The sequence below is a fragment of the Homo sapiens genome, chromosome 12 (genome assembly GCF_000001405.40).
Source record: "Homo sapiens chromosome 12, GRCh38.p14 Primary Assembly".
NCBI classification, from domain to species: Eukaryota; Metazoa; Chordata; class Mammalia; order Primates; family Hominidae; genus Homo; species Homo sapiens.
Window position 1 is genome coordinate 43,781,009 of NC_000012.12, and position 26,992 is coordinate 43,808,000.

Consider the following 26,992-nt stretch of genomic DNA (forward strand, 5'->3'; position numbering starts at 1 on the left):
CCCACAGTAGCCTTTAAGTCAGAACATTAGAAATCAAACTCATCAGCTCTTCCCAACCTAAAGTCTTCCCACATTTCCTTTCTGATCCAGTGAAGTCACTGTTCATTCTGTCTCTCAAACTGAACACGTTCTCATTCTCTATATCATGCTAATTACAAAATTCTGTTGTGTGAGCCTCAAAATTTTCACTTTCCATTTATCCCATGTTATGACCATTTAAACCCTCATTATCTCCCATTTGCTTTGTTACAAACCTTCGTAGTCAACCTAAATCCAGCCTATCAGTTCTCATCTATTCACTACCACACTACTAGGTCATGGTCCTAAAAGTTAAGTCTAATAACATCAGTTTCCTACTGTGAAAACTTTAGCTGGTATCCTGTTGCTCACAGGATAAAATGCAAATTATCTCCATGTTTCTTGGACACTCGTTCCTTGAAGTTGACCATGTATACCATATCATGTTTTTGTCACTTTGTACCTGTTACTCCATTTGCCTGGAGTGCCTTTCTTTCCCTCATATAACTATTAACTTCTAATAATCCTTCAATACTAAGCACACTTTTCACCCTCTGTTTGAAATTTTTCCTACTTTTTCCAGGCACATGGTTGTTCTCTCAGCATTTTGTACCTAATATTACCATTGTTTTAAAAAATTATTTATGCCTTTGTCACAGACAAGATTTTAAGACTCCGCCATGCCCAGCAGTGAGCTTAAATACTACACAACATAGGGAGTTCTCAATAAGATTGTGTTGAATTAAAGTATGAAAGCACATAATGAATTAATTGAGATATTTTGGCCATATTTTTTTCTCTTCAAAAGCCAGATAGTACAGAACAAAAGAATAAAGAAATTCATAATTGAGATACTTTGGTTGGAAATTTGTTTTGAAATGAATTGATACATACTAAGAAAGGAATTAATAAAGGTGCCTTGGAAGACTTTGTAGTAATTTACCCTATAATAAATGATTTGTGGAATAATGAAAATATCTCTTACTAATGTAGACAGTTTTATTTCATTTTTATTCTCCTAAATGTTTTCCTCAAGAAACATAAAAAAAGAGGACAGTTGCTTCTCTTTAGCTATAATCTGAATTCTAGGTTTATTTCTATAAACTTTAGGCTTTTATGATGCATACTATAAAACGTTACACTCTGTAAATATGTATGTACATATGCATGTATGCATATACATATATACATGCATACATACGTACATCTAGCTAAGGAACTGTTTGACTTTTTTGGGGTGGGAAAAACATTTTTTTCTTCAAACTTTACATTTTTTTCAGTGCAAATATCTTACTGGATGAAGCTTTTACTGCTAAAATATCTGACTTTGGCCTTGCACGGGCTTCTGAGAAGTTTGCCCAGACAGTCATGACTAGCAGAATTGTGGGAACAACAGCTTATATGGCACCAGAAGCTTTGCGTGGAGAAATAACACCCAAATCTGATATTTACAGCTTTGGTGTGGTAAGTTCCGTATACATAATTATTAAAAATAATCATTCTGCTATAATTGTGAAAATGAAGAGAATATTATTTAATACACCCATCTTGTTTATCTCTCTTATGTAACAATATAAGTTTTTCACATTAACCTCTACTTATACCAGAAAGTTTATAAAAACTTCTTCCAATGTGTAAAACTTTTGAGTTGATTTTTGAAATGACTACAAGAAATGATTTTCTTGCCATCTGTCTTTATGAATTAGCATGACACCTAATGCATTAAATGAATCATGTCATACAGTATATACTTTAGTCTCACATTTTTTGACATTTACTAATCTACCTCTCTATTCCCAATAACTTTTAAGATAGAGCAAGAGATAGGTGTGGGTGGTTGAAGAAGCCGGGGGCTTTTTCTTCATTTTATTTTTTCATACGTGTTTCATATATGGAAATTTAACTTCATAGCACTGAAAATAAGGCATAGGGCTATAGAATATGCCTAATGTTTAGAAAATAATATTCTCCTAAGAGCCAGAGTAAATTATTCTTGTGAAGAATCCCCAAGAGGCAGGAAAAGGATTGGGAGTCCTTAGAACATATGTTGAGTGGGGCTGACTCTTTAGTAAGTTGCCAATAGAAAAGAGCTGCTTATGGTCATGTTGGGGTCCAAGATGTCCCTGAAGGAGGGATGGTGAGAAATGCCCAAAGCTCATGTTCTTTCCACTTTAATATCTAAAAGACATAGCTTTGTATAGAATGATTAATCAAATTTTGTAAGCAAGATTCATATTCATTCTAGTTTTTGTCTTGAGTATTATATATATAATTTATTAATATCATGTATAATATATATATTTTTTAGAGAGACAAGGTCTCACTCAGTCACCCAGACTGAAGTGCAGTGGTGGAATTATGGCTCGCTGTAGCCTCAACCTCCCAGGTTCTAGTGATCCTCTCACTTCAGCCTCCCAAGTAGCTGGGACTACAGGTGTGTGCCACCACACCCAGCCAATGTTTTTTTAAAATTTTTTGTAGAGACAGGGTCTCACTGTTGCCCAGGCTGGTCGTGAAGTCCGGGGCTCAAGTTATCCTCCCACATCTGTCTCCCAAAGTGCTGGGATTACAGGCGTTAGCCACTGTGCCCAGCCTATCTTGTGTATTATATTAATGATTTTTTTTGTCTTCATAGGTTTTACTAGAAATAATAACTGGACTTCCAGCTGTGGATGAACACCGTGAACCTCAGTTATTGGTAAATGAAATATTCATTTTCCTCAATCCTTTTTTCTCTGCTTTTGTAGTCTAAATTTATATGGATAAATTTGACATCTAAAAATAACATTTTCTATTGGCAATCTTTCCATTGGCTATTACACGACAGCATATGGAAAAAGCATTAAATATTTTCATTCTCAGCTCTCCCATGAAGTATTTGTGAAGCCTAGAAAAGTCACTTATATATTCTTTGTTCTGATTTCTTTGTGGGTAAAATGAGAATAGAACTAAATGATTTCTGAGGTCCTCTTTAGCTTATGTTTATTTTGTGTCACTTTTGGGGTGGCTACTGTTAATAACAGTGTTTCCAGCATTTTCAGAGGGGGGAAAAAAAAGGCTTCCATTCAAATTTCTTTCAGAATAAAATTGCTAGTAAAAGTTATCACTTATTTCTATCATGGGGTATTTTATTTACAAAGTTACAATAAAAAACATACCAAATTTGCTATTGTTAGGAAAAATTCATATCATGTTTTTCCTTTGCTCTCACACCACAACAACAATCAACACAGAAGATTTCTGTGACCAAATGCGACTGGGAAGGGTTTCTCCCCACCAACAAGCAGGCAATCTACTTTGCAGCGGAAGTCAGCTGGATCTCCTCCAATTTAATTCTGACACTACATTCCTGGACATAGCATCAGAGTCAGATCCCACAGGTTAAGAGCTCAGTCCCCAAGACTGCCATCCCACCAGACACCAGTTGTAAGTTTAGGCCTCCAGAACTTCTGACCAACTGCCTTCAAGTTGGAGTTCCTATGACCTCCTCTGTGGGTATGGAGGGCTCAAGATTGAACCCAGATTGATTCACTAAGTTGCAGCATATACTTTACCTAAGTTTTCCATCGTTTTGCCTAAGACTTTTTCCTTCAAAATATATAAAAGCCTCAAAACTTTGGCTTGAGTAAGAATGAAATGCAGAAAAACATAAGCTGTATCTCAGTCACAAGTTTTGCATTTCATCATATAATAGTGAAAATCATAAATCTTTGGAGAAGGTTTTACTCTTTCACCCATTCTTAAGGTTTGACTGTGATGTGACTCTAAAGTAATAAGATTTTCATACAAGCACAGTTTTTAAAAAAGTGATCATCTGAAGAACCGTTATGTCACTAGATTCTGCCGTTGTCAAACATTTTCAGAATTTATCTTTGAAAGTGGTTTTGAAGAGTTTACATCCTACCTCTCATGAATAGTTTTTTTCATCTGTATTAGCTTCCTAGGACTGTTATAAAAATATACCAAAAACTGTGTGACTTAAAGCAACAGAAATTTATTTGCTCATAGTTCTGGAGGCCAGAGTCTGAAATCAAGGTATGGGCAAGACTATGCTCTCTCTGGAGACTCCAGAGAGAATCTTGCCTTGCTCATTGGATGTAGGGCTTACCTCCAGGATTAGCCATAATCTGGAATGATCTCATCTCAGGATACTTAATTACACCTAAAAGGGCCCTTCTTTTCCTAATAAGATCACATTCACAGGTTCCAGGAATTATGACATAGACATGTTTTGGGGGACCATGATTCACCCAACTCCACGATCTTATTCCTACACTTCTCTCCCTGTTAATTTTTTTTTATCATGGCCTGCTCCCTATTTTTTCCCCTCCTTTTTTCTCTTTGATTCAACAACCTTAGTACCCATAGAGAAATTTGTTGGGTACAGGGAGGAGGAGTCAGGGTCCAAAAGTTGGAATTGCGCTATTAGAAGCACATCAAGAAGCAGACCACCCTGTGCTGCCCACCTAGTAAATGCTGCTAATGGGAACATATAAGCAATTAGCTCATAACATAGATATAAAAATTGGAAGGCAAATGGGTGGAAGTATCTAGGAGGTATAAATAATTAAATATACATTTGTATATATATATGTGTGTATATATATATATTTATATATATATATATACACATACCCAGCCATGTGTTGCCTAATGACAGGAATACATTCCGAGAAATGTGTTGTTAGGCAGTTTCATTGTGTGAACCTCATAGAGTGTACTTACACAAACCTAGATGATATGACCTACGACATACCTGGGCTATATGGTATTGCTCCTAGGCTACAAACGTATGCTATACAGCATAATACTCTCCTGAATACTGTAAGCAATTGTAACACACTGGTAAGTGTTTGTGTATGTAAACATAAAAGAGGTACAGTAAAAATACGGTATTATAATTTTATGGGACCACCATCTATATGTGATCTGTCATTGACCAATTGACCAAAATGTCATTTTGTGGTGGATGGCTGTACTTATTTACATAGGATTTGTCCTGTATGTCTTCAATTTTTTTTTTTTTTTTTGAGACAGAGTCTCGCTGTGTCACCTAGGCTGGAGTGGCGTGATCTCGGCTCAGTGCAACCTCTGCCTCCTGGGTTCAAACGATTCTCCTGCCAGCCTTCCAAGTAGCTAAGATTACAGGCATGCACCACCATGCCTGGCTAATTTTTTGTATTTTTAGTAGAAACAGGGTTTCACCATGTTGCCCAGGCTGGGTCTTCAATTCTTAATAAGGTTTTAAGATAAGATAGTAAAATGAGAGCACATGTTATTACAAAGTAGATTAATTTAAATAATTAAAATATATATTCTATTTTCTTTCACTATGATTTGAAGCTCTTAAAGTTTTAACACTCATTTTAAAGCTAGATATTAAAGAAGAAATTGAAGATGAAGAAAAGACAATTGAAGATTATATTGATAAAAAGATGAATGATGCTGATTCCACTTCAGTTGAAGCTATGTACTCTGTTGCTAGTCAATGTCTGCATGAAAAGAAAAATAAGAGACCAGACATTAAGAAGGTATGCATTTTTTATACTTATTTAAAAAGTGAAAGGGGTGGGGTTCATCATATTTTCCAGAGTGTATATTTTAAAGCAACTGTATAATGTGGTTCTTTTGTTTTTTTCTTTCTTTTTAAAAGGTTCAACAGCTGCTGCAAGAGATGACAGCTTCTTAAAACTTTATTGGAAAAGACTCTTGACTTTTTATATACACCTATCTCAACCATTTTTTTAACTGATTTTTTTCCTAAATATTCTTCTTTACCTTTAACAAGGCATAGGCTGTTGCAGGACAGTGGTTATTAAAGCATGGGTTGAACTTCCAAAATATAAAAATAGAGCCACCATATCAACACTTAGCCCTACCCATTAGTATCACCCCCAGTTCTTACAGTAATCCCTGAGAAATCTCCTTCAAGCATCACCAAACACAGTTTGAAAATTACAGGGTTAGCAAAAAGAGCCTGGGCTGTATGTAGGGTGGAAACACTCTGATCTGAAGCCCAGCTGACTCCACTACTAATTTGCTGTAAAGCTTTGGACATACACTTAGCTGCTGTGAGCCACTAATAACATTGGGCTAATATCTGCTGTGCTTCTCTGACAGGTAGTCATGAAAATCAAATGATGCAAAATATATACAAGCACTTTGTAAATTGTAAAATGATACAAAATTTAAAGTTTATAGAGCCAGTTACAAAATCCTATTAGTCATATATTTATAGATTGTGTTCACAGCAATCATTTAACCACAAATAAAATATCCCTTGATGATACTGCCATAATGATATGTCCATTATTAGATTATGTTACATGACAAAGTTGAAGGAATTTGGCAGATGCAGTTAAGGTTCCTAAACAACTCACTTTGAGACTGTTGAAAGGGCCTGACCTAATCAAGTGAACCCTTGCAAGAAGAATTCTCCTTGTAAGCCTTGAAGAAGTATGTGAGAGGGCCACATTGGCTAAAACCTAAAGGTGGCCTCTAGGAGATGAGACCTACCTTCCAGTTGTCAGCAAGCAGGAAAAAAAAATTGGGACCTCAGTTGCAACCACAAGGAACTGAATTCTGCCAAAAATCTGAGTCAGCTTAGAAGAGTACTCCAAGCTTCAGATGATAACCACAGCCTGGGCTGACACCTGGATTTCAGCTTTGCATGATCCTCAGTATGAGAATCTATCTGTTCTGTGCTGGACTTCTAATATATAGAACTGTGAGATAATGGGTCACATTGGCTGGATGTGGTGGCTCATACCTGTAAATCCCAGCACTTTGGGAGGCCGAGGCAGGCAGATCACCTGAGGTCAAGAGTTCAAGACCGGCCTGGCCAACATGGTGAAACCCCGTCTCTACTAAAAATACAAAAATTAGACGAGCGTGGTGGTGGACACCTGTAGTCCCAGCTACTTGGGAGGCTGAGGCAGGAGACTAGCTGGAACCAGGGAGGTAGAGGTTGCAGTGAGCTGAGATCGTGCCACTGCACTCCAGCCTGGGTGACAGAGTGAGACTCCATCATAAATAAATAAATAAATAAATGGGTCACATTAAGCCTTTAAGTTTGTGGTAATTTATTATTCAGTAATAGAAAACAAATACAGATACTCTCCCATGATGTTTTTCCCATGATGATTTCCCATGATATTTACAGGTTTTGCCCACATTTGAGGGGTATGTGGAAATTATACAGAGCATGTACAGCGGGAGGCTTATAGTGTACGTACTGAAATGTGGGGTTGGAGCCCCAACACAGAGACCCCAGCAGGACACTGCCTAGTAGAGCTATGGGAAGGGTGCTGCCACCCTCCAGACTTGAGAATTGTAGAGCCACCAGCAGCTTGCACTCTGAGCTTGGAAAAGCCACAGGCACTCAACTTCAACCATGAGGGAAGCCACGCACCCTGCAAAGCCACAGGAGTGGAGCTGCCCACGGCCTCGAGGGCCCACCCCTTGCACCAGTGTGCCAGGATGTGGGACATGGAATCAAGGAATATGTTAGGGCTTTTTTTTTTTTTTTTTTGAGACGGAGTCTTGCTCTGTTGCCCAGGCTGGAGTGCAGTGGCACGATCTCGGCTCACTGCAAGCTCTGCCTCCCAGGTTCACGCCATTCCCCTGCCTCAGCCTCCCCAGTAGCTGGGACTACAGGTGCCCGCCACCATGCCCAGCTAATTTTTTTTGTATTTTTAGTAGAGATGGGGTTTCACTGTGTTAGCCAGGATGGTCTTGATCTCCTGACCTCGTGATCACCCGCCTCGGCCTCCCAAAGTGCCAGTATTTAAAGTTTAATGTCTTCCCAGCTGGGTTTCAGACTTGCCAGGATCCTGTTGCCCCTTTCTTTAGCCAATTTCTCCCTTTTGGGACAAGAATGTTTTACTTATTGCCTGTACCACCAACTGTATCTTGGAAATAAATAACTTATATTTTATTTCAGAGGCTCATAGGCGGCAGGAACTTACCTTGAGTCTCAAATGAGACTTAGGACTTTTGAGTGATGCTAGAATGAGTTAAGACTTTGGGAAGGGATGATTATATTTTGCAATGTGAGAAAGACATTAGATTTGGGGGGCTGGGGGTAGAATGACATTGTTTAGATGTTTGTCTCCTTCAAATTTCATGTTTAAATGTAATCCCCAGTGTTGGGGGTGGAGGTGGGGCCTGATGGGAAGTGTTTGGGTCATGGTGGATGATCCCTCATGAATGGCTTAGAGCCACTGGTGATGAGTGAGTTCTCACTCAGTTCGTGTGAGATCTGGTGGCTTAAAAGAGTCTGCTCCCCCTTTGCCTTCCATTGTGATTGTAACCTTCCTGGGGCCTTCATCAAAGGCCAGGCAAATATTGGTGCCGTGCTAGTATGGCCTGCAGAACCGTAAGCCAAAACAAACCTTTTTTCTTTATAAATTACCCAGCCTCAGTTATTCCTTTATAGTGATGCAAAACGGGCTAACTATATAAATTTGTAATTTTTAAGTTATAGATTGTTTTTATTAAACACTTATGAATACTGTTTGAAGTGCTTTAATTTTTATAACAATCCTATGAATTTGGTAATAATCACATTTTACAGATGAGGAAATTACCCAAGATTATATAGCTAATAAGTTGCGTGGCAGAAATTAGCATCTGGTATCAGTTTGCGATCTTTACCACTAACACGATGTCTGTGCATCATATTAATCATAATCATTTTCTCTGTCATATGTTGAAAGTTATTGTGCCAAACATTGTGCTGAGTTTTAGAAGCATGATCTGATTTGATAAATCTACAATGTAGGTTCTATTCTTTTACTTCTTGAGGAAATTTTGAGACCCCCAATGATTAAATAACTTCTTTCCCTTGTTCATTGTATTAGACTGCAATTCTCCACTCATTATATTTGATGCCTTTTGCAATATGGCTTTGTAATTTTTCCCATCAGGAAGTAAAGTCTATTTCCTCAACCATTAAATCTGGGCTGGCCTTGTAACTTGCTTACAGAAAAAGTGATGGTCAGTTCCAAGCCCAGGTCTCAAAAGCACTAATGCACTACTTCTCTCATTTGGAACCCTGCCACTGACATGAGAACAAGCCAAGGGTAACATGCTGCTGATGACAGACCATGCAAAACAGAGACAAGGCATCTCAGATGAGGTCATCCTTAATCAGCCCACCTGCCAGCTGATCACAAACATACATGAGACATGAGAGGTCAGCCAACTGTAGATTTGTGAGGGAGGGTAGCTGTTGTTTTAAACTGCTACTTTTTTTTTTTTTTTTTTTTTTTTGGAGAGTCTCACTTGGTCACTCATGCTGGAGTGCAGCAGTGTGATCATGGCTTACTGCTGCCTTGATCTCTCAGGCTCAAGTGATCCTCCTGCCTCAGCACCTTGAGTAGTTGGAGTACAGGTGTGTGCTACTGTGCCCAGCTAATTTTTTTTTTTTAATTTTCTGTAGAGACAGGATCTCACTCTGTTGCTGAGGCTGGTCTTGAACTTCTGGATTCAAGCAATTCTCCTGCCTCAGCTTCCCAAAGTGTGAGATTAGAGGTATAAGCTACCATGAAAATCACATCTGGGGGCTAGTTTGTGATGCATTAGTACGGTATGGTTTGTTATTCGTTAGTATGAAGATTACAGGTATAAGCTACCATGAAAATCACATTGAAAATCACCTAGTTTGTGATGCATTAGTATGGTATGGTTTGTTATTCGTTAGTATGAAGATTACAGGTATAAGCTACCATGAAAATCACATTGAAAATCACCTAGTTTGTGATGCATTAGTATGGTATGGTTTGTTATTCGTTAGTATGAAGATTACAGGTATAAGCTACCATGAAAATCACATTGAAAATCACCTAGTTTGTGATGCATTAGTATGGTATGGTTTGTTATTCGTTAGTATGAAGATTACAGGTATAAGCTACCATGAAAATCACATTGAAAATCACCTAGTTTGTGATGCATTAGTGTGGTATGGTTTGTTATTCGTTAGTATGAAGATTACAGGTATAAGCTACCATGAAAATCACATTGAAAATCACCTAGTTTGTGATGCATTAGTATGGTATGGTTTGTTATTCGTTAGTATGAAGATTACAGGTATAAGCTACCATGAAAATCACATTGAAAATCACCTAGTTTGTGATGCATTAGTATGGTATGGTTTGTTATTCGTTAGTATGAAGATTACAGGTATAAGCTACCATGAAGATCACATTGAAAATCACCTAGTTTGTGATGCATTAGTATGGTATGGTTTGTTATTCGTTAGTATGAAGATTACAGGTATAAGCTACCATGAAGATCACATTGAAAATCACCTAGTTTGTGATGCATTAGTATGACTAAATCATGATTTAGTCATGTAGCCAGTAAGTGGCAGTCAGAAACACACACACACACACAAGGATGTGGCCCAGTTTGTCTTATTATAAATACAGCTTGGTAATAGAAAACTAAGAAATGCAATCTAACCCCTGTTCATGGCTTGCCTCTTTCCCATTAACCATCCAGAGTTCACTAAGAAACTACAGCCTGGCTGAATCCTAGCAAATGAGGGTGGTAGTGCAGCAGCACTGACAGTTGAGTAGGCTGGTATCAATCTTTTTGGAGCACAGAATCAGCTGAATGAAGATCCCTACTGGAAGGCATTTGATGCTCAGGAATGGGTCAGTACTGCCATTTTGTGTGGTAGAACCCATGGCTTTCGCAGGGCAAGAGATTTTGCCAGTGCTAGTGAGTTTTCCTGTGGCCAGAAAGAAAATGATGGAGGCCAGATCCTCTGGTGACCTACCACTGCTGGCATGTGCTCCTTTCACAGCTGTTCTTCAAGGAAAGGCAAATTCATTTATTCATTCAATAAATTGAAAAATGCCCACTATATCATAGAAACTTCTAGGTGCTAAGGATGTAGCAGTGAATGAAACTAAGCTTCTTGTCCCCATTGAACTTGTATTTTAGTGGAAGAGACAATATGGGCACAGATATAGAATACCTAAGTGCCATGAGGAGGAATAAAGCAGGATTAAGGTGAGAGGAACAAGGAGTACAATCAGATTGGGAAATTAGGGGAGACTTCTCTAAGGAGATGACACTGACACCTGAGCAGAGACCTGTAAGTGAGGAAGGCATGTAGATACCGGGTTAGAGTGATCCAGCGTGGGGAACGCATTCAGTGCCCTTGAGGCTGTGCTTGGTCTACTAGAGGAACAGAGAGCTGTCAATGAACTGAAGCAGACTGACCAAGGAAGGTAGAGAGCCACGGGCAAATCATGTAGAAGCTACTGGGCAACAGTGAGACCTAAACTTTCTTCTATGAGATAGTGCCACTATCATAACTAGTACAGTGTAAAACTTCAGTTTGTTGGCTGAATTGGGGTGGGGGAGAGCTACAATTTATATGATTTAAGGTAAACTGTTCCCAGTCATGGCTAGCCATGAATCATTTGTAGAACTATTTGATTCCTGGACCCACCTACTGGGTCAAAATCTAGTATGAAGCCCAGAATTAGTATTTTATTTAAAAAAGAACATTCCAGGCCGGGTGCAGTGGCTCACACCTGTAATCCCCACACTTTGGGAGGCCGAGGTGGGTGGATCACGAGGTCAAGAGATCAAGATCATCCTGGCCAACATGGTGAAACCCCATCTCTACTAAAAATACAAAGATTAGCTGGGCGTGGTGGCGCACACCTGTAGTCCTAGCTACTGGCGAGGCTGAGGCAGGAGAATCACTTGAACCTGGGAGGTGGAGGTTGCAGTGAGCCAAGATTGCGCCACTGCATTCCAGCCTGGTGACAGAGCAAGATGCCATCTAAACAACAACAAAAATTCCATCCTGAAACTTATGGCTCTATTTGCAAAGAAAATGTGAAAGGATATACACCAAACTGTTTACAGTACGTACCTCAGGCACATTAGTACATTATTTTAGCTCTGAGTAGAAATGCCTTAGCTTAAATGTTTAAAAGTTTTAATAATGAGCCTTTTGTTTTTTGAGACAGTCTCGCACTGTCGCCCAGGCTGGAGTGCAGTGGCGCAATCTCGGCTCACTGCAAGCTCCGCCTCCCAGGTTCGCGCCATTCTCCTGCCCAGCCTGTAGCTGGGACTACAGGGGCCCGCCACCACACCCGGCTAATTTCTTGTATTTTTAGTAGAGACGGGGTTTCACTGTGTTAGCCAGGATGGTCTCGATCTCCTGACCTCCGCCTCGGCCTCCCAAAGTGCTGGGATTACAGGCGTGAGCCACCGTGCCCGGCCCAACGATGAGCCTTTCTAAAGCTATTTCAGCATCTTTTGTAAAACTGCTACCAAAGACATCCATCTTGTCACATCTCTAATAAAAAGGATTTGAAACCAAATCGCACACAGGAGTGCATTCAACATTTTTCACATGAATGAATACAGTGGCAAGTCTGAGTTTAGTGTCAAGTAAATCAGTACTGGGGTGCTTCTGTTACAGAAAATGAATAACTCATGGCATTTTTATTATTGCTACAACAGTGGCAAATTTTTAATCTAAGCACTCTATAGTCACAATTATTCTTGCCTAGGTTTAAAGCTACTTAAAATCCTTTTTGGACTTAGGCAGACTAATTAACAAATAAATGAATGGGATTCCTAACCTAACACCAGGTACTGAATTATGAAACATTACACAAACAATTAAAAAAACTATAGTAGAAAAACCAACAGAACATACACAACTTAAAGAGAAAAAATTTTTATTGTGATATAAAATGCACTTATAAAATGTCCACCAGAAGGCATGTAATTCTTCACTGCTATATAAATTTACTGGGAATATGTTATTCACCATCTAGGTATGATACTGCCAACTAAAACATACTGTAAACGATGAGTTATACTCTATAACAAATGCATCACTGATTTTCAGCAATCATTGGTTTAATAATAATTAGTTTAAGACTATAATCACATCTATATTCTGGAATGTCCATTTACTTTAATGTAGTGTAGTGGAATTTAGAGTATAATTGCACATAGATGGTACAGAAAAACATTCACTTCTAAATTATTTTATACCTTCATGACAGGTAGTCTTCCTGACTGAAAATAACAGCTTCAGCTATGGTCTGCTCCAGGATTCTTAATGCAATAATTTGGGTGTATGTGTGTCTGTCTACGTGTACACCCATGGAACAACTTATATCTTTAGTAAACAAGTGCAACATTATTGTCAGTTATTTTGCATGTTTAAATATTATAGTCTGATTATTTGTAAACAAACAAAACCCCAAATACTCTAAATTCTATTTTAAAAATCTGTCAACCCACAATTATTCTAATATGCTTTACTTACTCGAACACAAATTTCTGAAAGGTGCATATATTACCTTAGATAATAAGGTTTAGAAATGAGTGCTTCACACTATGAAATGTGCATTTCCGATAAGTGATTTATGCAGCATAAAGTTTAGATCAAGAAATTACAAATCCTGGATCCCCACAGTTCATTTAGAAAATGCCTCAAAGTTATGGCTCTTGCAGCAGGTTTAACAGATTAAACATTAAGTGTTCTAGCTCCCTCTATTTCAAGTATCAAAGAAATATGAGGCTCAAAATCTCTCTAGGTTGTAACTGATAATGCAAAGCATTAGAAAACAGTTAAATGTGTTTTGAAATACAGTATTAACTGAGATTATTAAGGTGTTTATCTACGTTAGCCTGTTAAGTACCAGGACTTTAAAGTAATTTTAAATCTGAGTATTTGCTCGGAAGTGATAAAGAACACAATTTGCCCATAAATGTATGGTTTTGGAGAAAAAAGTCAATCCTGATTTTTAAAACTCAACATTTTTTGTTTCCTTTTGAATGATATTAATTTAAATTTCAATCTGAACATAAATGTTTGGCCTCACAGAGCATTAGAAAGATAATTTACTAAGGCTGTTTAAAGTCTTTCAATGTCATCAGAAATCCTGCAGTATAGAAAATATCTGGTACCCTTAAAGTTTCAGAGTGAGCTGATCTGCAATTTTAATGCTATTAAAAAAAAGTCAAATATAAAAGACTGCTGCAATATAAAGCACTATTTCTAAAAGTTGCAGACATGATCCTACAGTCTGACAGAGCTAGCACAGCTACTCGGAGTAAGCAACTTGCGGCCTTTTCCAAGGCACACTAAGTTTCCAGCTTAGAAAATACTCTAGCCTGGTCCTTAACATATTCATTAAGTAATATGAATATTTTAAGGTCTTTCTGTCCCACAAGAAAGTAGTAAGTTTACCCTTTGAGACATCAGACTTTCTAGAACTGGCCCAACTGTATAAAATTTTAAGAAGTATTTGAAGTGTGGAATCAACGCTATGAAAACAGTGTGACAAAATTAAACATTATGTTGAACCCTTTTCTAGCTTTAACTCAAAAATAGAAATCATGAGTCTTCTATAACATTAATTTTAAAAACACACAGAAGTGAAAAGTGCTATTTTCCAAAAAGTACAATTTTTTTCCCTACTTTATATCAACATGGAATGATTTCAGTTCTCCTGTACTAAAAGCTGGACTTTTAAAAAACTAGTATTACAATGTTTAATGTGATGACTTTAATCAGTAGTAGCTTCAGTTTCCGCTGGGCCCCTAATTAGTCTTCGAATTCCTCTTTTTCCTGCAGGACCTTTTGGTTTTGCAAAACTTTGCTTGTGTGCATGCTGCTTGGGATGTACTTCTTCATAAAGGAAGTCTGCAGTCAACTCATCCCCATTGTCTATCTCGATCTGTAAAAGATAAAATTAGAAGCACAACATTCAAAACCTAATACAAGCAACAAGCTGGTTTTCAGGTATATGAATGCTCACAAATAATACCCTTTCCAGTAAGGCAGAATCAAGGACCATATGTAAACAGTTTCACTTTCTTCTTTTGGGGGAAGGGGCTAAATGAGTTACTTGAATATATAATCAGCTACATTCACTTCCTTCTTGGTTCTTTCTTAGTGCTCCAGTTTAAATAATGTTTAAAAGTAGAAGCCACCACTACATTCTCAAGTTGCTATGATACACTATTTATTCAAGGAACATTTACTCATGACCCTTTCATCACTTGGGTCACTTGAAAGCCCTCTACAAGAGAGGTAAACAAACCATGGCCCGAAGGCCAAATCTTGCCCAAGGTAAGATTGTTTTACATTTTTTAAGGGTTGTTAAACAACAATAAGAATATATGACAGAGATTATATGTGGCTTGGCAAAGCCTTTACTTACTATTTGGTCCTCTGTAGAAAGTCAGCTGATCCCTGCTATAGAAGGTGCTACCCATGATAAAGTGATTGATTCTTAGGAACTTAAAAAGCATGAAGGGTTCAGAACCTAAAAACACTGGTAGTTTTTAAGGACCTGTATTTTTATGAGTTTAAGGGCTCAAGAATATATATCTTTCCCCATGCCTTATCTGTACTTAAGAAAATTTAAGAAAATTGGTAGCTTAGTTCCCAAAATTCAAATGTTTATGCTTATTCCTTCCTTCCCCCAAACTGGAAAGACTCCCAACCATCCCATAATTCAGTCATAATGGAGACTGTAATTCCTTATTAATATGCAGTAGAAATAATCACAAGTATGCAGCTCTGGCAGCGCTGTCCAATAGGACTTTTTGCACTGATGGAAATGTCCTATAAATTCTGCACTAACCAATACGGTAGCCAGTAGCCACATTTAGCTAATGAGAATTTGACATAAGGCTAGTGGAATTAAGAAACAGAACTTTAAATCTTATTTAAAGTTAAATAGCCACATGTGGCTTACTAGGAAGTACAGATATATATAGAGATGGGGATCATGACAGGTAGTTCCCAGGCACTTAGAGGAGATCCTAAGGATTTAGGATGATAACAAGAAAAATAAATATTTTCATTTATAAATCACAGTACATCATAAACTACATAGAAATGAAAAGAAAAATTTAGCAAAAACTGAAGATTTTAAAATAGGTGGGCTACCTTTCTAATTACATCCATTTGTAGTTGTCTTTCTACAATTTCTAGCAGACGGCTCTTGCAGCTAGAATACAGCATCCGCTCTCTTATACTGCATGTGTATCCAGGCATTGAATAAATAAAAACTGTAAGTTCAAATAATAACAAATATAATTAGCATATCAATACATAAACTTCATAAAACTACATATATAAACTTCATAAAAACAAGTACAGAAACTTCATAAAACTACAGCTAAGCCCTCTGGGCAAGAAATAAGTAAGAATATAGGGCTGATACACCAATAAACAAACTGAAAGTAATGTGTTAAAAACAATGTATCATATACCTATGGACTCTAAATAGTCTCCTTCATGGGAATGTTTATACAGAAAGAAATGGTAACGAGCTGAATCCTTGGGAATCCTCTTTGGCAAATCTTTCAGTTCTGTATTTGTTGTGTTGGCCAAAATTATAATTTCATTTTTTATATCTATTTCCTGCCAATAAGAAACAAAATATGTTCATTAAAACCAGATATAAGGAAATTAAGTTAAAACATATAATAAAAAGACCAAGAGATAAAGGAGGAACTTAGTTCTGGATGGTTTGACTTTTTCACAATGAACATTTACAAAATGAATTTTAGAAATCAGAAAGCTATTTAAAATGTAAAATCCATTAATAATAAACCCTATATGAGTCATAAACTACCAAAAAGAGCAGCCACTTAATAATCATTATACATCTCTTACCAACTGCACATAGTTGAGCTGTCTATTATTCAATTTTTCCAAAGCCTGAAAGGCTTCTCGAGAAATGGGAAATGCTACTCCTTGTAGTGTTTGATGCTTAGTGTCCACACCCACGTCAGTCTGTACCTAAGTATGACAGATTTAATTTACAAGTTTAGCAGTTAGCAGTATCCTATGGCAAACATAAGAAAACCCAACCTCTATAAAATAGTATCATTCAACCCTAGCCCAACCTATAATTAAAATTATTTTTCACATTTGTTTACGGTCCTGCTAGCATTTTGTCAACATGCAGAGTGCATGACACATCTTTACGACAATGTTGGAAGTGAACATTTGAATGAGTGTACAGTTAGTGGGGTTTGGGTGGGTTTGTTTTTATGTTTGGTTTGGCACAATTTCTTTAGAGTGTCATCAGATTACACCACTGATTGTAAAATTTTACTTGATAGAATTTATAAACAACAATCTACATACAATATGTATAGAACTTTACTTTGTTCTGTTGGACAGAAAATGCAACACAAACATCATGCACTGAATTGAAAGGAGTACAAACAGTGTACAAAGACAACACAGCTCAACAAGTTATACTACTGCAGAAGTTCCAGACTTAAGAGATTTCTTTACTAAGAACATGGTGTGCATGTACTGGAAGAGGAGAAAGATAAGAAAGCATTCAATGCACATGTTTAAGATTTTTATACTTGATAAATGATAGCTAGTAGAGAGTCTCATTCGCAGTGTTGCAACAGAAAGTCCAATAGAAATTTTACTTTTAAAAAAATGAATGGAGATTCTACAGCATAAATGATATTGGTTAATGAAAACATCATAGAACATATGCGAATGCATACCCCAATATGATCCTCTGGGCTCTGATTGCAAGAAATAAAACAAACTATCAAACTCGTAAAAAAAAAAAAAAATCACATAAAAAGCCCTACTCAAATAATATGAATTAAAATAATATGATAGATCCTTGCTACCAGTTTAATATTAAATGATATTCAACCATTCTCCAGACTGATTCCTACTGTCTGTGACTCAGGCTAATGAACAGTGGTTTCAGCTAATGAATAGTGGTTTCAGCCACTTGTTCTTTTCTGTAAAGTCCCAGTAGAAATACAGTAGTTATTCCAGTATGTTAGAATGGCTGTAGAAAACACATTAAAAATAATGATAAACTACAAAATAATATGGCTGAAATTTATTGACTCTAATATGCTCAACAGGTACTCAAATAATAATCTTCCATATATATCTCTATTCAAGTAGAGTTCATAGAAGTTAATTTGTAGACTCTCTAGAAAGCCAACAAAACAATAATCTGCTTCAGGCAACCTTATTAGATACATTCTTTGCACTAAATGGGTAACACACACTTTTTCTCTATATAATATTCAAAGTACAAAGTTCACAACAGTTGTACTTCAAAAGGAAGATTTACTATTCTGACATGAAGATTATAGGAAAAGCTATTTATAAAATGCATATAAAGTTTAATATTCATTTTAACTTTTTTTTTCTGAAAAGGCATTAAGCACATAGCCTTATCTCTAAACTAAACGGAATAAACCTAAGCTACCTAACTTCTTTAATCTCTAGTTATCCTCCCACATCTATTAATTAAAAATACAGTATTTTCAAACACTTAAAATCTTGCAAAGACTTTGTAGTTGTAACTTACCTCATTGATTTTAATCTGTCGTAGTTCTTCCTCAGCTGCAGTCAGTGGGGCAGGGGAAGATTGTGACAGCAAGTATTTTTTATATCCATGTAATGATACATCTTCCTGTAAGTACAGAATAGACTATAATCAGTAATTCTCTAGAAGTAAAATGACAGTGAAGTTACTTTAGGAAAAACAAAATCATTAACAGAAAAGATTTTAAATGAAAATAAATAGCATTATGAATTTTAATATCTTTTTACTTTTCTTTAATCCTCAATTTTAAGTTTCAAAACTTTTTAAGGGGAGTACCCACTGTTCATTTTATATGAAGCTTTATAATTACTAAATATTTTGTATGAGTTTCATACTGGCAAAGTGAAATACTGAACCTGGTCATCCTGTAAGTCTATAGGACAACTGTAATTAACCTTCTGGAGAAAACTGCCCAATGATTATCCAATAATCAACATATTCAGATTCTGAATACTATGTTATAATGCTTAATATAATTTCTTTGTAATTATTCATGGAAAATTATTATAGTTTTCATGTCAAAAGAAAAAAATACTACAAAGAGGTCTACCTATCATCAAAATTTTGTGGTTTAGAAGACTGAGACTCATGAAATTAAGAAACCAGCCCACTTCACAATTAATGGTGAAGAAGCAATATATTCCCATCTAGTCTTGTGCTCTATCCACTAGATTATATGACTTTCTGAATCAGAAAAGCTCTAAACAAACAAAAAAGTTCAAAAATATATTTCAGTGTTTCAATTTGTGTATATATGTGTAAATACATATATTTACCATATACTTTAGAAGAATCAGTATGTTTCAATATCACTTGTCAATGTCAAATAGATACAAATGAATAAACTCAAAGTTACATATTCATTACAGCTAACTTTAATATTATATGAAATACAGTATTTCTCTTATTCTCATGTTTTCAGATTATCCATCTGAATTCGTATCAATTACCCATTACCTAGGAGTTCCTCTTTAATCATTTTAATTGCAACATATAGAATCCACATACAAACATAATACCTTTACTGTTCCAAATACTTCATCTTTAATGTGGCCACCTCCAAATTCCTTCTTCAGAGTTGCTCTTGTTGCTGCATACAACATTTTTTGACGAACCTATTCAGTTGTGAAAGTTTACTTAGTTTATAGATGAAAACATAACATTACAAAAGCAAGCACATTCTGAATATATTAATATCCTGAATCACATTAAAAACAAAACTGAGCTGAAGTCCACCCACTATAATATGCTAAAATACGTGTGTACAAATAACCGTCATTAACATGGGCATCTAAACTATCAATGGTTAGTAAGATGGACTTCAATTTACAATGTCACTTTTTTTGTTTTTTGAGACGCAGATTTGCTCTTGTTGCCCAGGCTGGAGTGGAATGGCATGATCTCAGCTCACTGCAACCTCTGCCTCCCAGGTTCAAGTGGTTCTCCTGCCTCAGCCTCCCGAGTAGCTGGGATTATAGGTGTGCGCCACCACACTTGGCTAATTTTTTCTATTTTTAGTACAGACGGGCTTTCACCATGTTGGTCAAGCTGGTCTCAAACTCCTGACCTCTGGTGATCCACTCGCCTCGGCTTCCCAAAGTTTAGGGATTACAGGCATGAGCCACCGTGCCTGGCCACATTTTAAAGCTGAAAAAAATATAAATTGTTTAAATTCTTCATTTTTCAAACTCATAAGTTCAAGAATAAAAAATTAAAATATGAGGAAAACTGAAATGAAGTAACTTTGATAGTGACATTCTTCTCAAAGCTGTATCAAAGATTACGAATTAAGTTGTTAAGAATCAAAATTCACGGCTTACCGATGGCACATACCATTCTAGGAGGGACACAAAGATGGAAAAAAAAATTCAAGAGTCAACTAGTATCTATGGAAAGCTACTAAAGATAACTACCAATTAACAAATAATTTCATAATCCTGCATGGTCAAACCCAGTATTTCTTTCAGATAGAACATGGGGAATTAAAGAGGAATGGGATGATCTTTTGAGAAAATATCTAGATAACTTTAAAAATAATTATTTTTTAATAAGAAAAATTCAAATTAATTTTTTAAATATTGGGCCATATTCATATATTAATTCTGTCTATTGTTCTATACAGTCAATCTACTACCAGCTTTCCTAAAATACTTGTTTGTATGCAGGCCCATCACTTGAATGGTAGCGATTAATAAATGTATGATAATACTAACAAAATTTAATATTATGTTCAATTAGTTCTCAGATTTATTACAATTATTACTCTCAGGGCCAGGCAGTTTCCTTCATTTTTCAGAGGCCCATGGAGTCATTTTAAAATTACCACAAATTAGGTTGGACACAGTGGCTCATACCTGTAATCCCAGCACTTTGGGAGGCCGAGGTGGGTGGATCACTTAAGGCCACGAGTTTGAGACCAGCCTGGGCAACACAGTGAAACCCCGTCTCTACTAAAAATATAAAAATTAGCTGGGCGTGGTGGCACATGCCTGTAATCCCAGCTACTCAAGAGGCTGAGGTGGGAAAATCACTTGAGCCTGGGAGGCAGAGGTTGCAGTGAGCCGAAACTGCACCACAGCAAGCTGGTCTGGGTGACAGAGTGAGATTCTGCCTTAAAAAAGAAAGAAAAAATTGCCATTGCCACAAATTTTTAAATCTTAAATCAGTAATAATTATTTTGATTTCAAGGGCAAAACTCCCGAATCTAAGCACATTATTCCTGATTCTCCGTTATCAATCCAAGGATTTTCCTCATGATCATTCCCTTCTATGGGAAATAATTATTGTTTTTTAACCTTTATTTGACCTAGAAATTTCAAAAACATTTTTCTAGCATTTAATGTTAAACAAACTATAAAAAAGTTACTTACATGAGAATGATCTGGAGACCATGCAATGAATATCCATTCATATCCCTGGGCATTCTGAGAATCTAACCTGAATAATATATAGCATGGTTGTTTGTCCTCCAACAGGGGTAAAACAAAGGAATCATAATCCTTATCCCAGGAATCTGAAGGCTGACTATATGATCCAATCACAAGTTGCTCTATGAAAAATTATTTTTAGAAAGATAGGTAAATGGTTTGAGATATCAAGTGGTAGTGTGATGAAGACTAGAAAAATAAATATATAGTCATTTCCCAGTTACTATTATTCACATCAAAAAGTTGAAAAGAAAAATGTGGTAACATAGAAAGTAATTATGACATAGAGTATTATAAAAACTGTTAACTTTTTATGAACATGGTTAAAATGTTTAAAATATACACAGCCTAAGAAAGAAACATATAAAAATGATCATAACAGTTGAACTGAATGGTCAAATAATGTAATGACCTATAACAGTCATTACATTTCTATTTTCCAAAATGTCTGAGCTTAAGTTATCAACAAAATATATTTAAACTACCATTCAAAAGTATAATTTCTGACATTAACAATGAATTGTACAGTAAGAAATATTAAATAAAACCATGTTTAACTCCTTTTTATTTGGCCATAATGCTACAGATTTAAACATTTGCCTAGATGTATACACTGGTATAGCCACTTTGAAATGGTATTCAGCAGAATCAAGTAAAACTGTTAATCTACTATGCATACAGAATCTCTTATACATAAATACAAAGGTGTTCACTGCAGCACTATACAGTAACAGTGAAGTTATAGCCTCAATGTTCATCAATAAGACAATGCAAAAATAATGTGTGGCATAGTCATATAACATTCTGTTCAGATTTAAAATGAATTATTGAGCTATCAAAACTAATTGCAAATGGAACATTTTCAGAAAAAGGAAAGATACAGAGTAAGATGGTATCATGCAGTTTATGTAAACTCAAAGAGCACTATATGCTATTTAGGGATACATGTAAAAACAGACTGCACAAGTATCAGAACTCCCAATTGTAGTTGCCCCAGGGTAAGGAGGTCAGAAGCAAAATTGTTTAAAGGGGATGCTCTTATACCAGAAAAACACTGAATTTTCTAAAATGCTTGAAGTAAATAAGATAAAATGTTAGCAGTTATTAATAAAGGGGAGATATAGGTATTTATGATACAATTTTAGTCTTTGGAATTTTCCTTATTTAAAAATTTTCACAAAACAAAAAAGTAAAACCAGAAAATAATAACTTAGGAAGTAGTGCCATTTTCCTTCCGTAGAGATGCTAGTTAGATTAACTTTTCCATTTTAGTTCCTTAACTAGTCACTTAGGAAGTGATGGCATTAAAAATTTTAGCTCAGTATTTTTAAAATATGCTGTTTTACAATATACATATATTCCTATTGAATGTTGTATGTAAACAAATGCATATTTTACAAACTATTCTGGTATTTTTTATATAAGCAGAAAATAGAAAACAAATTAGATTTACTTCCAGTTTGTGAAAGAACAAGTTACTTTTCCAAAGCAAAATATTTTCAGATATTTAAGAAATTAGGCCACTGGAATATTTTAATATATTCATTTATGACTGAGTACCTATAACAATAATTGTTCAAATTCAAATCTGCCTGATTTAAAAGATTCTCCCACTCAACCAGATTCCCTGTTTACAGAATTATTTTTAAAGAATCAATTTGTAGTTTGTTATATTCTCAGAACTTTCCCAAAACAAGAAAGGGAAATGATCATTTCTGTGGCAAAGGTTGCAATCAAATGGAGAAAATGGGAGTTTGATATCCTTTGTTTATATTTAAAAACAAACTTAATTGAATAATTCACAAGTAACTATTTTTTTTTTTTGATAATCACCTGTTTAGTGATTTCCATTCCAGAGATGGAAGCACTGACATTAGAAATGGACTGTGGTGCAGAAACTGAGACACAAAAAGTAAAAGAGGAAGAAGTCACATCAAAAAACATCTTTCTGTTTCCCTGATAGTCACATAATTCAGAATGAAATTAGGGGCCCATAGGGACCTGCACAAAATATGAGGAATCCAAGTTACCGTAAGATTTGAACTTGCTTCATATTAATTAATAGTTCAAATCACTGACAACACACAGTAAGTTTAAAAATACAACAGCCACTAATCCAGGAACAGAAAATATTTTAAAATATTTAACTAACCATTTTCAATAGATATTTTCAGAAGTCTGTACTTTCCATTTCTGGCTCTGGCAAAGATCTCTTTAACATCTTCACTTGCTGTGGAAAAAGATAAAGAAAGTAAACTTTTTATACTTACATATAAATACTTTCCTATCTATATTGGAAAAGTTAATTAGAATACAAAGAAAAAATCTGGAGCATGTAGCATCCTTATTATCAGTATTATAAAACTTTACCGCATAAAATAACGAAGACTGTATACAATTAAGAAATATAAATATTAGCATTTTAAAAGTATGTTAATAATTCTAATCTGTTTTAGCTACATAATTCTGTGCAGAAATAACACTGGGGTGAATATACTGAAGTTACTCAAACCCAATAATGAGCAAATTACAATTTTGAAAAACTTTTCTTGCTCTTTTGAAAAATATTGAAAACCTGCTTTCATTCTCTAATTCAGTTTCAAGCTTATGACAGACACTCCTTCATCAATTCACTTTCTGTATTTTCCCGTTAAAAACAACAGTATATATCAAATATCCTAACTTGTTTAAAGAAAAAGACAATAAAATGCATTCAGTCTTAACTCTGGTTATATTTTTCTAACTTGCATTTCTCAAAAGCTAGATTAAACTCATTGAATAAATATGTATTTAATAACTAACCCTTGTGTTCCTATTAAAGCTTCAATTTCGTTCTAATTTCGTTCCTGTGTTGTCTATTAGCAGCAAGAACCACTATGTAAGTAGGTAGTGCTTGCTATAAGGCTCAAGCATGAGAGTCAATAACTACATATTTATATATCGAAATTAATGCGGATAAATAAAACAAAGTTTTCAGATTTGAGACTATTTTGCTTCTGCGTGCGTGCAGGGGGATGTGTGCGGTGGTGTCAAAAATCTTTACGAATAAAACATACAATTAAGTGTTCATCTGGGAGAAAGACTCGCTATTAACAGTAAGAGCTTGAGTTTACACTAGAACTCGTTAAGTGATCGCGAGTAACCCGGGGATATATTATTTGACTCTTGATGAGGTGAGTACCTGCAGGCTGCCCAATTTCAAACCAGGAAATAATGGAGGTCAGATATAACTGCATATTGAACTGTCTGCACGCATTACATGCAACCATACAGATCAGTTTCCCTTGGGGAGTATCTAGGAAAAAGATCAAAACACACGCTTACACTCGAGATTTCTCAGAACATAACTCTCATTTTCCTATTTGGAGAGAAAATGCGGGAGAGTTTTGGGAAGCACCCCTACTGATGTGAGAAAGATTCTGGCATGGTTCTTTTTGTAATCAAAGTCCTGTAATATTCTCCTTTGGACCATGAAAAAGAAAACTCGCCTGGTTCTCGACAGCGTACTGAAGCCCCAGTCGCCTCCACTGTCCCAGCTCTTCCCTACGTGACCAAAAGGGGGAAAGTTGGGCGACTGTCGGGGACGGTGGAAGGCACGCCCCCTTCAACCAGGCCGCCTCGAAAGCCAATTTCCTTCGCTCCCCCGAATTTCGGATCAATCTGCAACGTGACGGCAGCAGGGACCGGGCTGGAGGAGGACGCAGGCCGGCAGCGCCCGGGAAGCAGGAGCGCGGAGAGGCGCCGAGGCCCGGCTCGCCCCGCGAGACCGACTTCCGGAGCTCCCGGCCCGACTCCAGCCCTGCCGGTCCTGCAGCCCTCCCGGCTCTCCCGGCTCTCCCGGAAGCCCCTTCCCTGCGAGTCGCGCCGGGCGCTGTTACCTTGGATGCCGGTCTGGTGGGACATGGCGGCGGCCGCTAGCTCCCGGCTCCGGCGCTGAGTGCAGCCAGCGGCCCCGGCCGGCGGCCCCAGGAAGTGGCTGCTCCTCCGCCGGCCCCGGCGCGTCATCCGCCCGCGACCCGCGGCCGCCCCGCCCCGTGAGGTTGACTGAGTGCCCGAGCGTCCCCGCCGCCCCGCCGCCCTTCCTGGCCGCCGGGCTGCGGTCCAGCCCCCGGCCTCGCTATCCTAGTTCTCTGCTTGGGGTCCTGCTTCTGCTCTTGCCGCCGCCTCTCCCGCTTCTTCCGGGGGGGACATGCCGCAGAATCTAGACTGCTCAGTGCTCCGACGTCTGCTCTCTGACAACCCCGCCGACGCCGCCATTCGCTGCCTCAGCAAAGGGGTGCTCAAAAACGGAAGTGATCATTTTACCAAATAGGCATTTTCCAGCTTAAAAAAGATGTGCACATTATTTTTCTTGGTTTACTCTTCCTATAATCGATACCGTTTAGTGTAGAAAAGCCTTCTCCTTGCTCCATTGTTTTGAAAGAATTAATATAGACTGCCTCTCATCAAATTTTTCCACGATTTTAAATTAAGTTAATCTCAGACTGTTAACTTTTCTTTTCAGCTGGACACATTTAGAGACTCAGTGTATCTTTCTCTTCACTCCGGAAAGAGACAGCCACTAAGAGATTAGCTGATTTGAGTATCCCTCTGTGGTCGATTATACCATTGCAAATCCTGCTCTGCTTTAGGTTGGCAGTTTATTATTTAATCCAGTAATTATTCAAAATTCACTTGGACAGATTTGTAAGGTAGCAGCAGATATTACTTAAAAATCTTTTCCTTTCCTGCTTTTACAAACATGTAGTTCCTTCCTGAAAGGTAATGTTAGTTTTGTGGGGGGTTTGGTTTTTTTTTGGTACTGCTTCTCTACTGCTACTAGGTGGGAAGCTAGTTCTTATTTTTAGGGCCTTGAAGTGACACATACACAAAATTATAATCTGCTAATGAAGAAATAATTTATTCAGGTCAATAATATAAGTGCAAGTTAATCACTGTTCCAGTACTATACGATGTATTTTTCATGAGTGATGAACAGGCCTGCAATTGTTTTTCTTTACAAGAATCACAGCAAACAAGGTTATGTTCTATTGCCTGTTATCTGAGCTCTGTTTTTCAGACATATTCTCATATTCAGGAATAAACTAAATCTGAGTTTTATGACTTGTATGGATTTAAGAAATGTAGGGAGGAGTTTCATTCTAATCAAATTCTTCCTGACACAATGGTTCACCCTGATTTACCAGTTTTTGACTACATTGCTGAGCAGAGAGAAAATTGCAGAGTTGACTTGCAGTATTTTGACTGATTCATGTCCTAGTGCTTCGGGGAAATTGCTTAAGGAAGTTGGCGTTGCTCAAAAGTATAGTTGAGCAAAATATAATCCTTCCATATTCGTGCTTGGGAAAGGCCACTGTATTCTCAGTCCTGAAGAAGAGGAATGTCTAGTTAGGTTGGGACCACCCTGACAGCCACCAGAAAGTGCTTATTTACTGCCAGTACAATAGTTTGACTTAAAAGCTGCAAGCGTCTTGGGTACCTTGCTCTGCTCTAGCCACAAATATTTTCCCACTTTTCTTCATCTATTGTGTCTCCATTTAGTGAACATTTGCCAGAGCTGTCATGAGAATAATACCTTAGATTTGTATGGTAGTTTACAGTTTACAAATAATATATAATAGACTTATTTTGAGTACCAACATCCTGTGTGACGAGCTG

General features: G+C 36.9%; 3 protein-coding genes across 26 annotated transcripts in view, besides 1 other annotated feature; 2 read left to right on the plus strand and 1 right to left on the minus strand.

The window, feature by feature from the left end:
- Window positions 1–8,533, plus strand: part of IRAK4 (interleukin 1 receptor associated kinase 4) — a 30,591-nt gene extending 22,058 nt beyond the window's left edge. For all 19 annotated transcript variants that reach the window (XM_011538431.3, XM_006719438.4, NM_001351338.2 and 16 more), the window contains 4 exons: window positions 1,299–1,482; window positions 2,654–2,716; window positions 5,391–5,549; window positions 5,672–8,533. In XM_011538431.3, the coding sequence (XP_011536733.1) occupies window positions 1,299–1,482; window positions 2,654–2,716; window positions 5,391–5,549; window positions 5,672–5,707 (442 nt within the window). In that variant the 3' untranslated portion in view covers window positions 5,708–8,533. The remainder of the gene's footprint in view (window positions 1–1,298; window positions 1,483–2,653; window positions 2,717–5,390; window positions 5,550–5,671) is intronic.
- Window positions 12,715–25,309, minus strand: TWF1 (twinfilin actin binding protein 1). 6 transcript variants are annotated; one of them, NR_073473.2, is made up of 10 exons: window positions 25,213–25,309; window positions 24,823–24,877; window positions 23,487–23,564; window positions 21,278–21,456; window positions 19,427–19,522; window positions 18,390–18,494; window positions 16,700–16,825; window positions 16,294–16,444; window positions 15,968–16,089; window positions 12,715–14,747 (listed from the first exon to the last, which is right to left on the minus strand). NR_073473.2 is itself a non-coding variant. In NM_001242397.2 (10 exons), the coding sequence occupies exons 1-10, from the start codon at window positions 25,235–25,237 to the stop codon at window positions 14,577–14,579; spliced, it is 1,074 nt and encodes a 357-aa protein (NP_001229326.1). In that variant the 5' UTR covers window positions 25,238–25,309; the 3' UTR covers window positions 12,715–14,576. The 6 variants fall into 6 exon arrangements, 4 of the variants coding, with proteins under 4 accessions (NP_001229326.1, XP_047285154.1, NP_002813.3 ...); NM_001242397.2 differs by lacking the exon at window positions 24,823–24,877 and adding an exon at window positions 17,557–17,577; XM_047429198.1 differs by having other exon boundaries at window positions 24,823–24,994.
- TMEM117 (transmembrane protein 117) overlaps window positions 14,794–26,992 on the plus strand; it is a 603,307-nt gene continuing 591,108 nt past the window's right edge. Inside the window, exons 1-2 of the mRNA XM_047429662.1 lie at window positions 14,794–14,812; window positions 14,967–15,142. The gene's annotated coding sequence lies outside the window, so the exon portion shown is untranslated. The remainder of the gene's footprint in view (window positions 14,813–14,966; window positions 15,143–26,992) is intronic.
- Window positions 25,005–25,484: a silencer, noted in NCBI's record as "silent region_4370". NCBI's record gives its function as "represses an Ori minimal core promoter by ATAC-STARR-seq in GM12878 lymphoblastoid cells {active_cell/tissue: GM12878}" and the evidence as "EXISTENCE:reporter gene assay evidence [ECO:0000049][PMID:35858748]".

What these genes read in the sequence shown, in the direction of transcription:
- TWF1 (NM_001242397.2), bottom strand. Translation starts at nt 25,237, where the DNA reads ATGTCCCACCAGACCGGCATCCAAG. An exon ending in AGCTCAACTATGTGCAGTTG is followed by an intron (nt 16,445 to 16,699) that starts GTAAGAGATGTA and finishes TCTTATTGGCAG; the next exon opens with GAAATAGATATAAAAAATGA. An exon ending in AGACTATTTAGAGTCCATAG is followed by an intron (nt 16,090 to 16,293) that starts GTATATGATACA and finishes TTGAACTTACAG; the next exon opens with TTTTTATTTATTCAATGCCT.